The 19,487-nt window shown below is 40.7% G+C and overlaps 1 protein-coding gene across 1 annotated transcript; it reads right to left on the bottom strand.

Annotated features, from left to right (window-relative positions):
• TUSC1 (tumor suppressor candidate 1) lies at nucleotides 15,206–16,681 on the bottom strand. The gene has a single exon (NM_001004125.3). The coding sequence runs from the start codon at nucleotides 16,547–16,549 to the stop codon at nucleotides 15,920–15,922; it is 630 nt and encodes a 209-aa protein (NP_001004125.2). The 5' UTR covers nucleotides 16,550–16,681; the 3' UTR covers nucleotides 15,206–15,919.

Consider the following 19,487-nt stretch of genomic DNA (forward strand, 5'->3'; position numbering starts at 1 on the left):
AAAGCCCCACATGTGAAATTTACCAAAATATATACTCCATTACTATTTAAACTGTTCTGTAACAAAAGTGAAAAAAAAAACTTTTATGGAATAAGTATATAACCATAGTTATGATAAAGACTACAAAATTAGGAAATAACAGAGCAATCACATCATTCTTAATAGAGAAAGCAAAAAACATTCCTATTAATGTCAGAAAATTTTTTGGTTATTCACCACTATTACTTAATTTTATTTTTTTCTGGATGTGTTAGCCAGTGACATTGAAAATGACAATCCTAAGATTACAGAAGAGAAATGTCTAAAAATTGGAAAAAAAATAAAGTGAAACATTTATGCTGGAAAAAGTTATAATTGTAGGCCTGAAAAAATTTAAATATAACTTAAAAAATTAGCTTAAACAATAAGATAATTCAGCAATTTGACTGAATGTAAATCTTTAAAATAGTTTTCTTCTATAGTGCTAAATTTAAACAATGAATTAGAAGGTATAATATAGAAAAGATACCATTTGTATTAGCAACAAGAAAGCTAGAATATTTAGTAATAAAATTAATTAAAATGCTCATGATCCATATGAAGAAAATTTCACAAGCTTGCGAGTGAGAAAGAAAAGAAGATTTGAACAAATAAAGAGACAAAACCTGTTTTTGGATGGATACATTCACTATTATCAATGTCAGTTCTCTCTAAATCTTTACATTTAATTGGATCCAGATAAAAATATCAACAACACATGTTGGAGTTGTTTGTTTGTTTGAGAAAGTGTTTCACTCTGTCACCCAGGCTGGAGTACAGTGGTGCCATCACAGCTCACTGCAGCCTCAGCCTCCCAGGCTCAAACAATCCTCCCAACTCAGCCTCCTGAATAGCTAAGACCACAGGTGCATACCACCATGCCCAGCTAATTTTTAAATATTTTTGTAGAGACAGGGTCTCCCTATGTTGCCCAGGCTGGTCTCAGACTTCTGGGGTCAAGCAACGCTCTTGCTTTGGCCTCTCGAAGCATTGAGATGATAGGCATGCACTACCACACCCAGCCTAAGACATTTTGTTTTAGACTATTTTAAAGCTTTCATCTAAAAACATGCAAAATTAAGAAAACTTTTACTAACAAAGAGTACTGAGGGGCATTAACATTACTATAGATTGAAATATTTTATAAAGTTATAGTGATTAAGCAATATGGTACAGCTACATGAATAGATTCATAGAACAAAATAAATAATAATAAACAGAAATAATAAACAATTATACCCAGAAAATTAGTATATGATTAAGGCAACATTACATTTTATTAAGGAAAGGATAAATTAGTCAGTGATGATCAACAGATACCCCTTTTATATAAAAATACTTTTGGATCTCTATACCAAAATTAGCATCAAAATAATTTCAGATAAATCAGATATTTAAAGAGATATATATATGTGTATATGTAACTATAACTATTACACAAATCCACAAATAATAAAAGACTGAAAATATGACCACATTGACATTAAAAGATTAAAAGCAGCATAAATTCAGAAGATTTCAGAAAAAAATACTTACATATCACTCCTACAAAAAAATAAGTTCACATTAAAGGAAATATAAATTTCCTTAAGTATAGTCTGCATGAATCTCAACTTCTAGAATTTTACCAAATGGTGATCCTAGCTTAATCTCAGTTGTAATAGGAGGCATGTAATTTAAAACTTAAAATGTGATTAAGTTTTCCATCTGTTATATAGGCAAAATGAACATTTGGTATTACACCATGTGGCAAGAATATCGGAAAACAGGCAGTCTCAAAGATTTTGGGTGAAATGTAATTGGTACAAACTCTGCAGAGAGCAACTGATAGACTCTTTTGCATTAAAAATCTGCAAGCTTTAAAAAATAAAAACACATTTACATTAATTTATTACAGAGACATGTGTACACATATGAAATAAGAAACATACATATATATGTAATGTAGCATTTCTACTAAGAGCAAAAGCTAATCCAAATCAATAAGAGGAATGAGGTACCTAGGACGGTCTTGATTTGGAATGATGTCCAAGTAATATTTTCTGCTCATGGGTGTGTGGGGAATCTACAGAGTGTGTATAAATTCTTTTGTTTGTTTGCACATGCAAGCACTTGTATTCATGCATGCACACATACAGAAACACATATAATTTTTAAAAGAATATATAAGATAGTGGTATCGATAGTCCCAGCTATCTGGCTTGGACAACTGCAGATATGTTAGTTCTGGCCACTATCCAAGAACATTCATTTACGGTGCAGGTTTAAAGATATGGGTATATAGATTTTCAGATAGTTGCTGAGATAGATTTTAATATTTTCTTCCTTTAGCCATATAAGATAGTGCAATTGTATTGCATATATGTTGTTATCTTAATGGGAAAATTAAGATAGCATTTCAATGAACATATTTTGGAGTAAAGAAAACCCTAGTACCTTTGCTCAGCATTACGTTATGCAGTGGACTAAGTGTTTATGTTGCCACCAAAGTTCGTATGTTGAAACTCTATTCCCAATGTGATGGTATTTGGAGGTGTAGCCCTTAGGAGATAATTAGGTCATGAGAGTAGAGCCCTAAGAATGAGATGAATGACCATATATGGAAAGACGAGACCACAGCTCTCTCTTTCAGACATTTAAGGATAAAAGAAGTCAGCGTCTGCAACCCGGAAGAAGGCCCTTACTGGAACCCTAGTCTACTGGCATGCTCATCTCATACTTCCAGCATCCAAAACAGTGAGAAATAAATTTCTCTTGTTTATAAGCCACCCAGTTTGTGATATTTTGTTATAGCAGCCCCATCTAATTAAGATATCCTATTTTGTTGTCCTATATTATCTCCTTCCGGTTTTGAACCAGCCTTCTTCAACTATTTGTTTCTGTGCTCATTCTATTTCTAAGCACATGCCTTCTTTTTTTGTATGTTATTTTAAACAACATACTTAGAAATGTGAAGAATCAGCAAAGGACATATTAATAAAACTTAGTATCACTAACATTAATATGTGATCATTACAATTTATTTAAAATATTGAAAAATTTTAAATATAATAGAATTATAATAGTATTCTGCTATTCACCAATAAAGCCTCCAGAACTTTTGAAGACCAAGTTTAATCTTGGAATTAGTTGAATCCGGAAATGTAGCACAGTGAAAGTTAACACACAGAAATCAGTTATGTTTAAAGAAATTGTAATTAACAGACTGATACTGAGAAGGATAGCAAAAGTAAATAGGTATAAACTACATTGTTTTATCATACAAGTATACTTAAGTGTTCTAATTATACTCTGAAAAACTGAAGCATCCCTACATACGTATATATTCAAGAGGGCAACTGAAGAGGTCAAAGCCTTCTTTATAGCACAATATTTAGTAAAATTTAAATTTTGTTTAGGGTTGACCAATATTTTGATTTTCATTCCCTCACAGGCCAAATGTTTAAGTTTTAGAGTTAAATGGTTCTATTAGACTTTTAATTATTACACATTCACATTCAATTTTGTTTTTTTTTTTTTGTTTTTTTTTTTTTTGAGACGGAGTCTCGCTTTTTCCCCCAGGCCAGACTGCCCTGGGCTTTCTCGGCTCACTGCAAGCTCCGCCTCCCAGGTTCACGTCATTCTCCTGCCTCAGCCTCCGGAGTAGCTGGGACTACAGGCGCCCGCCACCGCACCCGGCTAATTTTTTGTATTTTTAGTAGAGATGGGGTTTCACCGTGTTAACCAAGATGATCTCGATCTCCTGACCTCGTGATCCGCCTGCCTCCGCCTCCCAAAGTGCTGGGATTACAGGCGTGAGCCATCGTGCTCGGCCTGGTTAACTATTCTTGATAAATGAATGAAGAATACTCAACTAGCGTGCTATGTAAAATGTGAGTTTCTTCAAAATTAAGTTGTTGACAAAAAAGGCCTAAAGGATGCTGGGCTAAAACCCTGTAAGGTCTCTTTCAGCTCCAAAAGTTGTAGAATTGTGGTAGGTAATAGATAAGATGAACAAAATACATTTTCCCTCAAGTTTTACATTTAGATTTACACACAGAATAATGCTTACTACTTATAGGCTCTAAACCCCATATTTTTATAGTATACAATTTTTAACAGATAGTTCATACTTATAGGAATGTCCTATACAAAATTTACTAGCTGTATTTCCTTACTTATTTTAAATATAGAGCAATATCTGACGTTTTGTATTCATAAGAATGGTGCATAGGTGAATAAAAAAAGTCAGATTTTTTTTCAATCTACAAAGCAATCATTATATTTCTATTTTTAACTACATTATGTAGTTTCAAAAATACTATACTAAGACATAAAATATTTTAAAATTCTAAATAGATGACAGCCTCCATTTAAGGTGGTTGTCCATAAAAATCTGTTCTCCCATTCTTCCATTACAATGAAATTATAGCTGGACCAAAGATTACACAACTTAACTACATTTTTTAGCCTCCTTTAAAGTTAAATGGTGATGTAATGATGTTGTACTGACAGAACGTGAGGGGAGAGATTTATGCCATTTTCAGATCTGGGTATGCTGCCTCCCACTTATAGTTACTTTTCTCATAAACTGAAACCTGGGTATGGTAATCTGTTTCTACCATGTAGATGAAGCAATGGCAAGGCAGAGGCACACCATAAAAGGAGTCTGAGACCCCAAATAATCATATGGGCACAGCTTCCTGACACCCTGAAGCACCCTAATTAGAGTATTTTGTTAGAGAAAAAATAGTTGTTTTTTACAGCTACTGAATTGTTGGGTTTCTTTTTATAGCAACAGAGTCTTCACCATAACTAATGGCAAAGCCATTAAGTTTAAAATACAATAGAGGTTGCACAGTTAAAATGATACAAATTAGAGTTAAAGAAAATACAGAAAAACGTAAGGCCAAGGAAACTGTGTATCACTTCTAATAGGGGCAAATAATGGATTGGATAAGAGAATTAAATGATTTAAGAAAAATGTTAGGCTTTACCCAATTATCAGGAATAAGATTAGCTTACTAAATACCACAATAAAACGACTTTTTTAAGCTTTTCAATATATATTATCACTTTTACACCAATGGAAAAGGATACTACGCATTGAAAATTCATGTGTGTGTGTGTGTATGCACACATACATATGTCTTTTGATTTTACATCTGAGTATTTTTCTAACTGATATTTCAGGAATCCATTACAAATAGAAAAAAAAAAGAAAATGCTATAAAGCCCCTGGTGAATATGAGATAGGTTGTTGTCAGAGTTCCTCCCTCAAATAACTCAGATTTTTAGGGTAGAATGCTTATCATTCAGACAAGAATCAAGGACCAACAAATTCACGGTTCTTTTTCTCAAACTGTCTCTCAAGCACAACAGATGTTTGAGAATGTTGATTTAAAAACATACTTCCTTACCAACACATTTTCATGAAATACACAAAGACTACACTGGCAACTAAATAGATTCTCAGTATGAATTTTATACTAAGCATTATCTGCTTTGGATTAAACACAGTGTAATTTAATTCTGATAACTGAGGTATTATAATTATCTTAGTTTAAGGATTAAAATTTGAAATTTGATCATAATTCTTAGAAAGTCAGATGTGAGTGTAGTCTGTTTCCTTGATTTTTAATATTTACATTGCATAAATATATTACATACTACTTGCATATCTGACGTTACACAAGATAGATACTCAAAAATTAAGTTTATAGTAGACAAAAATAGGATTTTTAATTTATCAATTCATCAGTAAATAGAAATATAAACAAATTTTGCCATTCATGAAGATTTTCCAAACATTTTGTGACAAATTCTCAGTAAAAATCTATCCCTTTCCTAAAAATCTAGCAAAAGAGAAAATGGTCTTTTGGCACTGGGATCAAGGGCATGCTACTGATAATTTTTCAGTATATACTGTTAATTTAGTTTAGTAAATACCTTGATATTATCTTTATCATGGCAATATTTGTGAATTGACAAAACTATGTCTAAGAATATTTAAACACGACAAAAAATGTTTTCAAGTATTTTTCAAATATTCATAATATTCAAGATGTTTAGCAAAAAAGCTTATTCTACGATCTACGTAAGTACTCCTTTTATATTGCTTTCATTTCCTAATTTTTTTGTACTAGATATGATAAAGTGTACTTTTGTGAGTAGCAGCCATAAAAAATGTTTATTAAAAACATGCCAATACCCCCTCACTAAATTCGTTTGCTAAGAAGATATACATTTTTGTCACTTATTTCTATAAACTGTAAGCCCTGTTTTCATTGGACAAGTAATCTGAAAGAATGAAAAGAAAATGTCATTGTAATAAGGTATGGTACATGGCAGTTTTTGTTTATTTTAGATCAAACTGGATCCTAGATCAAACTAAAATTTCTAGATTAGCGATAAATATCCTGGTAACTTTTATTGCCCTTCGTTAATGAATAACACTTGACAACTAAGTAATGAAGAGGAGATCATCGTATATCCTTTCTAAAATCAACTGCAGATTTTAAAGCCTCCTCTACGAGAGGCTTTTCTAAAAATCAACTTTACCCATTTCTTTAATTGCTACATATTGTGATATAACGAAACCTTTCACATTACTACATGATGCTTTATCAGTTACCAGCAGAGAACTTCATCAAGCTTGAAATAGACATTAGCTTTAACCCAACCTATGAGCATTTTATTTTCAGAATTTGCAATGCCTTTTAGGAATTATGCTCAAAAGTTACCCTCATTTGTGTGTGTGTGTGTGTGTGTGTGTGTGTGTGCACTTACATCCTATTATAAAAATGTTTTCACCAGTAACATTTACAATTTTTAGCATTCATTCATATGTACATATTTTAAGACAAAAAGTGTTTAAGAACTATGTAAACTAAATAATATGGTTGGTTGTTAAATATCCCCAATTTTGCGACAAGTGGTAATTATTTTTTAACTTATATTTCATTATTCTTATTATATAGGTTTTTCTCTCCTATTTGCTTCTAAGTAGTAAAAAGTGTCAATTTATTCCAAATTTATTTATCTTTGCTAATACATGTAAAGTCATATAGAAGCAAGATACAGAAAGCAAGGGAAAAGTGTAAGAAAAATATGCATCTACAATTCTCACACTTTGGATTATAATTCTCACAGATATTGAACTTACTTTTGTCAGGCCTCTGAGCCCAAGCTAAGCCATCATATCCCCTGTGACCTGCACGTACACATCCAGATGGCCAGTTCCTGCCTCAACTGATGACATTCCACCACAAAACAGGTGAAAATGGCCTGTTCCTGCCTTAACTGATGACATTATCTTGTGAAATTCCTTCTCCTGGCTCATCCTGGCTCAAAAGCTCCCCTACTGAGCTCCTTGTGACCCCACTCCTGCCTGCCAGAGAACAATCCCCCTTTTTCCTTTACCTACCCAAATCCTATAAAACGGCCCCACCCGTATCTCCCTTCAATGATTCTCTTTTCGGACTCAGCCTGCCTGCACCCAGGTGAAATAAACAGCCTTGCTGCTCACACAAAGCCTTTTTGGTGGTCTCTTCACACCGAAGCGCATGAAAGTTGGTGCTGTGACTCGGATAGGGGGACCTCCCTTGGGAGATCAATCCCCTGTCCTCCTGCTCTTTGCTCCATGAAAAAGATCCACCTACGACCTCGGGTCCTCAGACCCACCAGCCCAAGGAACATCTCACCAATTTTAAATCGGGTAAGCGGCCTCTTCTTACTCTCTTCTCCAACCTCTCTCACTATCCCTCAACCACTTTCTCCTTTCAATCTTGATGCTACCCTTCAATCTCTCCTTTCTCTTAATTTCCTTTCATTTTCTAGTAGAGACAAAGGAGACACGTTTTATCCGTGGACCCAAAACTCTGGCGCCAGTCACGGACTCAGGAAGGCAGCCTTCCCTTGGTGTTTAATCATTGCAGGGACGCCTCTGATTATTCACCTATGTTTCAGAGATGTCTGACCACCCAAGGACGCCTGCCTTGGTCCTTCACCCTTAGTGGCAAGTACTGCTTTTCTGGGGGGCAAGAACCCCCCAACCCCTTCTCTCCATGTCTCTACCCCTTTTCCACTTTTCTGGAGGGCAAGAACCTCCAACCCCTTCTCCTTCACCCTTAGTGGCAAGTACCGCTTTTCTAGGGGGCAAAAACCCCCCAACCCCTTCTCTCCATGTCTCTACCCCTTCTCTGATTTTCTGGGGGCAAGAACCCCTGGATCCATAATTTCCACGCCCCGACCTCTTATCTCTGCACCCCGATCCCTTATTTCTACGCCTCGACCTCTTATCTCTGTGCCCAACCCCTTTCCTGCTTTTCTGGAGGGTAAGAACCCCCGAACCCCTTCCCTCCGTGTCTCTACTCTCTCTTTTCTCTGGGCTTGCCTCCTTCGCTATGGGCAACCTTCCACCCTCCATTCCTCCTCCTTCTCCCTTAGCCTGTGTTCTTAAGAACTTAAAACCTCTTCAACTCACACCTGACCTAAAACCTAAATGCCGAATTTTCTTCTGCAATGCCGCTTGACCCCAATACAAACTCGACAGTGGTTCCAAATAGCCAGAAAATGGCACTTTCAATTTTTCCATCCTACGAGATCTAAATAATTCTTGTCATAAAATAGGCAAACGGTCTGAGATGCCTGACGTCCAGGCATTCTTTTACACATCGGTCCCTCCCTAGTCTCTGTTCCCAATGCAACTTATCCCAAATCTTCCTTCTTTCCCTCCCACCTGTCCCCTCAGTCCCAACCCCAAGCATCGCTGAGTCTTTCTAATCTTCCTTTTCTACAGACCCATCTGACTTCTCCCCTCCTCGCCAGGCCGAGCTAAGTCCCAATTCTTCCTCAGCCTCTGCTCCTCCACCCTACAATCCTTTTATCACCTCCCCTCCTGAAACCTGGTCCGGCTTACAGTTTCCTTCCGTGACTATCCCTCCCCCACCTGCCCAGCAATTTCCTCTTAAAAAGGTGGCTGGAGCTAGAGGCATAGTCAAGGTTAATGCTCCTTTTTCTTTATCCCAAATCAGATAGCGTTTAGGCTCTTTTTCATCAAATATAAAAACCCAGCCCAGTTCATGGATCGTTTGGCAGCAACCCTGAGATGCTTTACAGCCCTAGGCCCTAAAAGGTCAAAAGGCCGTCTTATTCTTAATATATATTTTATTACCCAATCTGCTCCCGACATTAAATAAAACTCCAAAAATTAAATTCCGGCCCTCAAATCCCACAACAGGACTTAATTAACCTCACCTTCAAGGTGTACAATAATAGAGTAGAGGCAGCCAAGTAGCAATGTATTTCTGAGTTGCAATTCCTTACCTCCACTGTGAGACAAACCCCAGCCACATCTCCAGCACACAAGAACTCCAAATGCCCAAACCGCAGCTGCAAGGGGTTCCTCCAGAACCTCCACCCTCAAGAGCTTGCTATAAGTGTGAGAAATCTGGCCAATTGGCCAAGGAATGCCCACAGCCCGGGATTCCTCCTAAGCCGCGTCCCATCTGTGCAGGAACCCACTGAAAATCAGACTGTTCAACTCACCTGGCAGCCGCTCCCAGAACCCCTGGAACTCTGGCCCAAGGCTCTCTGACTGACTCCTTCCCAGATCTTCTCAGCTTAGCAGCTGAAGACTGACACTGCCCGATTGCCTCGGAAGCCTACAGGACCATCACAGACGCTCTAGGTAACTCTCACAGTGGAAGGTAAGTCTGTCCCCTTCTAAATCAATACCGAGGCTACCCACTCCATATTACCTTCTTTTCAAGGGCCTGTTTCCCTTGCCTCCATAACTGTTGTGGGTATTGACGGCCAGGCTTCTAAACCTCTTAAAAACTCCCCAACTCTGGTGCCAACTTAGAAGACACTCTTTTTGCACTCTTTTTTAATTATCCCCACCTGCCCAGTTCCCTTATTAGGCCGAGACACTTTAACTAAATTATCTGCTTCCCTGACTACTCCTGGGCTACAGCCACACCTCATTGCCACCTTTTCCCCCAGTTCAAAGCCTCCTTCACATCCTCCCCTTGTATCTCCCCACCTTAACCCACAAGTATATGACCCTCTACTCCCTCCTTAGCGACCATCATGCACCCCTTACCATCCCATTAAAACCTAATCACCCTTACCCTGCTCAATGCCAATATCCCATCCCACAGCATGCTTTAAAAGGATTAAAGCCTGTTACCACTCGTGTGCTACAGCATGGCCTTTTAAAGCCTGTAAACTCCCCTTACAATTCCATTTCACCTGTCCTAAAACCAGACAAGCCTTACAGGTTAGTTCAGGATCTGCGCCTTATCAACCAAACTGTTTTGCCTATCCACCCCGTGGTGCCAAACGCATATACTCTCCTATCCTCAATACCTCTCTCTACAACCCATTATTCTGTTCTGGATTTCAGACATGCTTTCTTTACTATTCCTTTGCACCCTTCATCCCAGCCTCTCTTCGCTTTCACTTGGACTGACCCTGACACCCATTAGGCTCAGCAGATTACCTGAGCTGTACTGCCGCAAGGCTTCACAGACAGCCCCCTTTACTTCAGTCAAGCCCAAATTTCTTCCTCATCAGTTTCCTATCTCAGCATAATTCTCATAAAAACACACATGCTCTCCCTGCTGATCATGTCCGAGTAATCTCCCAAACCTCAATCCCTTATAAAACAACAACTCCTTTCCTTCCTAGGCATGGTTAGCGCAGTCAGAATTCTTTCACAAGAGCCGGGACCGCACCCTGTAGCCTTTCTGTCCAAACAACTTTGACCTTACTGTTTTAGCCTAGCCCTCATGTCTGTGTGCAGTGGCTGCCGCTGCTTTAATAATTTTAGAGGCCCTAAAAATCACAAACTGTGCTCAACTCACTCTACATTTCTCATAACTTCCAAAATCTCTTCTCTTCCTCATACCTGACACGTATACTTTCTGCTCCCCGGCTCCTTCAGCTGTACTCACTCTTTGTTGAGTCTCCCACAATTACCATTGTTCCTGGCACGGACTTCAATCTGGTCTCCCACATTATTCTGGATACCACACCTGACCCTCATGATTGTATCTCTCTGATCCACCTGACATTCACCTCATTTCCCCATATTTCCTTCTTTCCTTTTTCTCACCCTGATCACATTTAGTTTATTGGTGGCAGTTCCACCAGGCCTAATCGCCACTCACCAGCAAAGGCAGGCTATGCTATAGTATCTTCCACATCTATCATTGAGGCTACCGCTTTGCCCCCCTCCACTACCTCTCAGCAAGCCAAATTAGTTGCCTTAACTCAAGTCCTCACTCTTGAAAAAGGACTACGCGTCAATATTTACACTGACTCTAAATATGCCTTTCATATTCTGCACCATCATGCTGTTATATAGGCTGAAGGAGGTTTCCTCACTACGCAAGGGTCCTCCATCATTAATGCCTCTTTAATAAAAACTCTGCTCAAGGCGGCTTTACTTCCAAAGGAAGCTGCAGTCATTCACTGCAAAGGCCATCAAAAGGCGTCAGATCCCATTGCTCTAGGCAACGATTATGCTGATAAGGTGGCTAGACAAGCAGCTAGATTTCCAACTTCTGTCCTTCACGGCCAGTTTTCCTCCTTCGTATCAGTCACTCCCACCTACTCCCCCGCTGAAACTTCCACCTATCAATCTCTTTTCCACACAAGGCAAATGGTTCTTAGACCAAGGAAAATATCTCCTTCCAGCCTCACAGGCCCGTTCTATTCTGGTGTCATTTCATAACCTCTCATGTAGGTTACAAGCCGCTAGCCTGTCTCTTAGAACCTCTCATTTCCTTTCCATCCTGGAAATCTATCCTCAAGGAAATTACTTCTCAGTGTTCCATCTGCTATTCTACTACCCCTCAGGGATTGTTCAGGCCTCCTCCCTTTCCTACACATCAAGCTCAGGGATTTGTCCCTGCCCAGGACTAGCAAATTGACTTTACTCACATGCCCTGAGTCGGAAAACTAAAATACCTCTTAGTCTAGGTAGACACTTTCACTGGGTGGGTAGAGGCCTTTCCCACAGGGTCTGAGAAGGCCATCGCTGTCATTTCTTCCCTTCTGTCAGACATAATTCCTCGGTTTGGCCTTCCCACCTCTATACAGTCCGATAGCAGACTGGCCTTTATTAGTCAAATCAGCCAAGCATTTTTTCAGGCTCTTGGTATTCAGTGAAACCTTTATATCCCTTACGGTCCTCAGTCTTCAGGAAAGGTAGAACGGACTAATAGTCTTTTAAAAACACACCTCACCAAGCTCAGCCACCAACTTAAAAAGGACTGGACAATACTTTTACCACTTTGCCTTCTCAGAATTCAGGCCTGTCCTCGGAATGCTACAAGGTACAGCCCATTTGAGCTCCTGTATAGACGCTCCTTTTTATTTGGCCCCAGTCTCATTCCAGGCACCAGGCCAACTTAGACTGTGCCCCAAAAAACTTGTCATCCCTACTATCTTCTGTCTAGTCATACACCTATTCACCGTTTTCAACTACTCATACATGCCCTGCTCTTGTTTACACTGCCAGTTTACACTGTTCCTCCAAGCCATCACAGCTGATATCCCCTGGTGCTATCCGCAAACTGCCACTCTTAACTCTTAAAGTAAATAAATAATCTTTGCTGGCAGGACTATGCTGAATCTCCTTCGCACTCTCTAATTAAATGTCCTAGGTCCTCCCAATTCTTAGACCTTTAATACCTGGTTTTCTCCTTCTCTTATTCCATTTTTCAATTCATACAAAACCGTATCCAGGCCATCACCAATAATTCTAAATGACAAATGTTTCTTCTAACAACCCCACAATATCACCCCTTACCACAAAATCTTCCTTCAGCTTAATCTCTCCCACTCTAGGTTCCCACGCCACCTCTAATCCCGCTGGAAGTAGCCCTGAGAAACATCGCCCATTATCTCTCCATACCACCCCTAAAAATTTTCACTGTCCCAACACTTTACCACAATTTCATTTTATTTTTCTTATTAATATAAGAAGTCAGGAATGTCAGGCCTCTGAGCCCAAGCTAAGCCATCATATCCCCTGTGACCTGCAGGTACACATCCAGATGGCCAGTTCCTGCCTTAACTGATGACATTCCACCACAAAACAAGTGAAAATGGCCTGTTCCTGCCTTAACTGATGACATTCCACCACAAAACAAGTGAAAATGGCCTGTTCCTGCCTTAACTGATGACATTATCTGGTGAAATTCCGTCTCCTGGCTCATCCTGGCTCAAAAGCTCCCCTACTGACCACCTTGTGACCCCCACCCCTGCCTGCCAGAGAATAACCCCCCTTTTTCCTTTACCTACCCAAATCCTATAAAACAGCCCCACCCCTATCTCCCCTCACTGACTCTCTTTTTGGACTCAGCCCACCTGCACCCAGGTGAAATAAACAGCCTTGCTGCTCACACAAAGCCTGTTGGGTGGTCTCTTCACACGGACGTGCATGAAAACTTTGAAGCAGGCATTTTGCTGTATTATCTCAATAACATTTTTATAACATGTTGAGGTAGATCTTACGTTCATTTTACAAATGAGAATACTAAGATGTGGAGAGCTTAACCAATTTAAGCCTGAAGTTACAATTTAATAGCAGGAAGGTGGACAAACGTTTTTTCCGTTCTCCAATTCCTACTGCCTCCTAAACATGTTTTACAGACATGGGCCTCTTAACAATGGGACATGCCCTGAGAAATGCATCACTAGGCAATTTCTTTGTTATGTGAACATTACAGTGTACCTACACAAACTTAGAAGGTATAGCTTACTACATACCTAGGCTATATGGTAGAGCCTATTCCTACTAGGCTACAAATTTGGAAACATGTCATTCTACTGAATACTGCCGGCAATTACAACGCAATGGTAGTTGTGTATTTAAACGTGTCTACACATAGAAAAGCTACAATAAAAATAACAGTATTATAATCTTACGGGACCATCATCATATAAGCAGCGCATTCCTGACTGAAATGTTGGTTAGGCAGTACATCACTGTATTTCTTTCATTCTTAGAAAATGAAGTGAAGGGGAATATAATTTATTTTCATATACCTACCTCTTCTCAACAAGTTCCTTATATTTTTTGGCCATAGGGGAAGATTCTAATATTCACATCTGAATATCAATTACCTTTAAGCAAAATATAGTGTCTTCATAACCCAGAACTTGAAAAATCACAAAACTTGTTTTCCTGGTACATTGTGTCAGGCCTCTGAGCCCAAGCTAAGCCATCATGTCCCCTGTGACCCACATGTACACATCCAGATGGCTGGTTCTTTCCTTAACTGACGACATTCCACCACACAACAAGTGAAAAATGGCCTGTTCCTGCCTTAACTGATGACATTATCTTGTGAAATTCCTTCTCCTGGCTCATCCTGGCTCAAAAGCTCCCCTGCTGAGCACCTCGTGACCCCCCCACTCCTGCCTGCCAGAGAACAACCCCCCTTTGACTGTAATTTTCCTTTACCTACCCAAAACTTATAAAACGGCCCCACCCCTATCTCCCTTCACTGACTCTTTTCGGACTCAGCCCGCCTGCACCCAGGTGAAATAAACAGCCTTGTTGCTCACAAAAAGCCTGTTTGGTGGTCTCTTCACACGGACACGACTGAAACATTGTTTTGTAATATATAATATTTAATACTTTTGGACTATGCCATAACTAGTATATTTTATTCCCTTGACAATTCTATTCATGATTTTTTCCCCTGAAATGTTTTCCATCATTGAAACACTCTTGGACCTATGATTTTTTTATCAGGCACAATGGTATCCTCTTCATTACTTAGTTGGCAAAAGTGTTATTAACGAAGCGCAATAAAAGTAATTTTAGGACATTTATTGCTAAACTAGTCACTTTTTTGTGCCATTGAAATAACAACTGAGACTTAAATTACTTTGTTAGGGGAACTTTTGATATACAAGTAATTTATAATTTCTTAAAAGTCCTTAGTCAAAATAAGGCAAATTATCTACGTACTAATTAAGCTAATTGAACATTAAAGATTAAAATAACTTTTAGACTACCTAATCTTTAGATTATTTTAAAAGATCACTGTTACATGAAGCTAAAAGAACATGATAGTTTACTAAGGACAACTAAAACCAGATTTAAATTAGTATATTCATAAAGGTATCTTTTTAAAAATATAAAAATGTAACACACTTCAAATAATACTCGCCGCAACCTTTCAGATAATTTTTAATGCACCAGATTTATTTACCATTTCAAAAGATCACGATATAGGCAGATACCTTAAAAATTCTCTGGGGGCAAACAAATCAGTATATATTAGATGTACAGGGACTGCAGCCAAGACAGGCATGAGTTCCTAGGTTATAAATATCATCTTTATAAAAAGTGGGTATTTTATAGGACATCCAAGTAACACCGACTTATAAAAGCAAACACTGTACTTAAAATGTTGGCCACATATGAAAGAATAGCTGAAGGCTTTAGGGGATTGAAGAATGGATAAACTCAACCAACTAAAAACACATTACTCATCCCTCAGAACCAAAATACAGGAAAAAAAAAAATACAACAGGTTCGCACAACATCCAGAAAAGTTCAGGGAATATGAAGTGTTTCTTGGCACCCAGTTCTCGCTGTTTTAAAATCCGTCCCTTCGTTGTTGGCTAGGCCTCTCTCCAGGGAAACTAGCCGGGGCAAGAGGCAGGGGAACTGTACATGTGGGAGGTCCTGAGGGCCCTTGCACCCACTCGACCTCCACCAAGCGGATGGCCAAGCGCCACCCGGAAGTGTCCACTGGTGGGGGCGGGAAGGCACCGTAGTCCAAGGTATCCGCGGGCAGGGAGCGGGCCAGGGCGTGCGCGAGGTCGGGGGTAGCTGGGAACGGAGGAGGAGGGGCCCGCTCGAGGCTCCGCCTCTCACCGGCTGCGGCCTCGGCTACAGCCAGGGCCCAGAGGGCTCCGAGTCCCGGGAGCGGAGGCCGGAGTCGGGTTCCTGTAGAGGCTGCTCCTCCTTGTCCCCGCTCGGACGTGGTCCCCGCTGCTCGAGGTGCAGCTGCAGCAGGGCCCGGCGGTACATGGCTTCCAGCTTCTCAAGTCGGGCCCTCAGGGCCCTGGGGCTGCCCGGCTCGTCCTCTCGGCCGCTGTCTCTAGCCCTCCGGTTCGTGCTGGCCTCTTCAGGGACCCGGCGTGCCTCCGCGGGCGTCCCGTTGCCGCCTTCGCCGGGGAGCCGCAAAGCCTGACGGAAGAGGCTGCGGTTCTCGCGCTTCAGCCGCCGGTTCTCGAGCCGCAGCCGGGCGTTCTCCTGACGCAGCCGCGCGTTCTGCCGGTCCCACTCGTCCCGCGCACGGATGGCCTCCAAGTGGCTCGCCGCCAGGTCGGCAAACCGCTCCTCCAGCTGCTGTCGGGCGCCGTCCGCGCGGCCTCGCCAGCCCACGCCGCCGCCGCCGCCGCTGGGGCTGCCCCCACCACGAGCCCGGCCGGAGCGGCCTGGCCCTCGGCCGTCCGCAGCACCGTCCCCGCCGCAGCAACTCCCGCGCCTAGTGGCGCCACCACGCATGCGCCACATCGGTCCCATCCCAACCGCGCCGCCAGCCCCGTGGGCTGAGGGGCCGCGCGGCCAGGCGCGGGCAAGTTCGGGGCTGGCAGGGCGGCCGGGGTGACGACGGAGGAGGAGAGGAGGTCGCGGGCGGCGGCTGCTGGCTTAGAGCCAAAGGAGGCCGGGAATTTGCCCAGACTGAGGCGTGTCCTGTCTCCTGTGGTGGAGCTGCCCCCTGGGCCTGCTCTCTCCAGGCTGCGCTGACACACAGTTCCCCCGGGGAGTGCTTTGCTGTTCAGCCCTCCGGCTGCGCGGGAAAAAGCGTGTATCCTCAGCTGAGTTGTGCCAGGGCGCTTCCGTGCAGGCCTGGGCACTGCAGGAACTAGCCGTCCTCGCCCGCTCCGGAGTGCAACCACCAGTGGTTACTTTGCTCTTTACACGGCATTCTCAAAACTAATGATAATAGAATGATCGGTTCTGAGACAAAGCTATGGGGCAAGTTGAAAAGCTCTAAGTGCTTCATTTAAAACCCAGTGGTTTAACCCACCCCTATGTTTAATAAAACATTAAACAGAATTGGGCTGAGTACCTGTCATGGGGTTTCCCGGTGGAAACACCTGGCTCTCCAAAGAATGCAGTCAATTCCCAATTTGTGAACAGCCAGGAATTCACTCTGTAAATTGTTCAGAACGCTATAGAAACTAGGTCATACTTAGTTGATTTGTTCAGGCCAACCCCCAAAAGCTATGAAACAAGAAGTGCTCTGTTTATTGAAGAAACTGAATACTTAGTTCCAAAGTTTCTGGGATCAAGGATGTACATCTCATTGAATGAATCATTCCTTCTTGTAGGGTCTCAACCTACATAGTAACTGGATGATTGCAAAGTAATTTAAGGATTAGGTACTGACGCCAGAATCTCTTAAGCAAGTATGCCCTAGCAAGAATCTACATGTCTAACAGGGTCCCAGAGAATTCTCAGGATAACCAAAATTTCCAAACCACTGGAGCAAGTAACGAACAAGAAAAACATATAAGTACATACATGGGGTCTTCATTGACAAGTACAAATAAGGGGAAAATATTTGCTCAATTTTTTTGTACTTTTATTTTGTTAGGCAAGATCTTAAGAGACCACAACACCAAATGTGTTCTCAATTATCTCATTTTATCACATGAAAGATATAATTTTGGAATTTCAAAAAATATAAATTTAGTTTTAAGAAGGACCACATTCCAGGCCGGGCGTGGTGGCTCACGCCTGTAATCCTAGCACTTTGGGAGGCCGAGGCGGGAGGATCACAAGGTCAGGAGATCAAGACCATCCTGGCTAACACAATGAAACCCCGTCTCTACTAAAAATACAAAAATTAGCCGGGCGTGGTGGCACGGGCCTGTAGTCTCAGCTACTCGGGAGGCTGAGGCAGGAGAATCACTTGAACCCGGGAGGCAGAGTTTGCAGTGAGCTGAGATTGCGTCATTGCACTCCAGCCTGGGCGACAGAGCAAGGCTCCTTTTCAAAAAAAAAAAAAAAAAAAAAAAGGAGCATATCATTCTTGAGATGGGAGTTTCGCTCTTGTTGCCTAGGCTGGAGTGCAATGGCGCCATCTCTGCTCACTGCCACCACCACCTTCCGGGTTCAAGAGACTCAAGAAGGACTGTATCATTCTTAATTTACATTAAGGTTGAGGCTGCAAGACTGCTGTGAGCTATGATCACACCATTGTACTCCATCCTGGGCGACAAAAGGAGACCTATCTCAAAAAATAAGGAAGGGGGAAGGGATGAAGAGAGGGAGAAAGGGAAGTTTGGAAGAAAAGGAAAGAAAAAAATGTGGAAAAAATCGATCCAACAAAAAGGTATTAAGACTCATAAAGACTGTCTTATGTAGCAGTGAACATTTGTCTTATGATTTGTTAATGGAGAGTCCACCAATCTTTCAAATACGACATAGAGACAATGTCATTTCTAAGTTGAAAGTGGAGTTGAGACAACAGAGTGATTAAAATGATTAGTACTAAAAGTATATACTTGTATTTATTTTAATTTACCTAGAATAATATGTCAAGAATCATATACTCGAAGATGAAAATTACAGCTTTTCTGAGGATGGTAGCACAAAGAGTAAAAATGCTTCTCCACACTGTAGTTTGTTAATGGTCTACATATAAAAATATTACTGGGCAAATAATATGTACCTATATATGAAAATAAAATGGAAAAAATTTGGAAAATATACGGAACTGATCAAATTTAAAAGAAATGCAAGACTACAATAATACTTAAAACATATAGAATAAGTATATAAGTGCTTGATTAGAAAAATAAAAGGTAGATAGATACCTGTGCTGCTTTTTAAGACTGGGGGCTTCTGAACAGTAAAATTGCTTGCTTGCTAAATAGAAGAAAGTCTTAAAGGACATAGGTCACTCTTTTCTGACAACTGGTTCATCATTGTTCCTTAAGCTACTCTTGCTCAAGAAAAAGAATTCTGCTATAAAAAGAATTCTGTTTAAACAGTTTTAAAACTAAAAAGAAAAGGACTACTTGCACTTTGCATTTAGGAAACTCTAAGACCAAAGATTATTTCCTGACTAAGGTTACGAAGTTTGAAGTAAAAGAACAGAAAAATGCAAGTACAGCAGCCCCTCTTATTTGTAGGGATACATTCCAAGATCCTCAGTGAATGCCTGAAACCTTGGATGGTAATGAACCCTGTATACACATACAGTCTTCCTTCTGTATTGGTGGGTTCCACACTGGTAGACAATCAACCACAGATCAAAAATATTTTTAAATAAAAATACAATTAAAAAAACAAAAATACAGTGTAACAACTATTTACATAGAATTTACAGGGCTTTGGTTAGTAATCTAGAGAGGATTTAAAGTATATGGGAGGATGTGTGTAGGTTGTATGCAAATACTATGACATTTTATATAAGGTCCTTGAGCATATTATCAAGAGT

The sequence above is a fragment of the Homo sapiens genome, chromosome 9 (genome assembly GCF_000001405.40).
Source record: "Homo sapiens chromosome 9, GRCh38.p14 Primary Assembly".
NCBI lineage: Eukaryota > Metazoa > Chordata > Mammalia > Primates > Hominidae > Homo > Homo sapiens.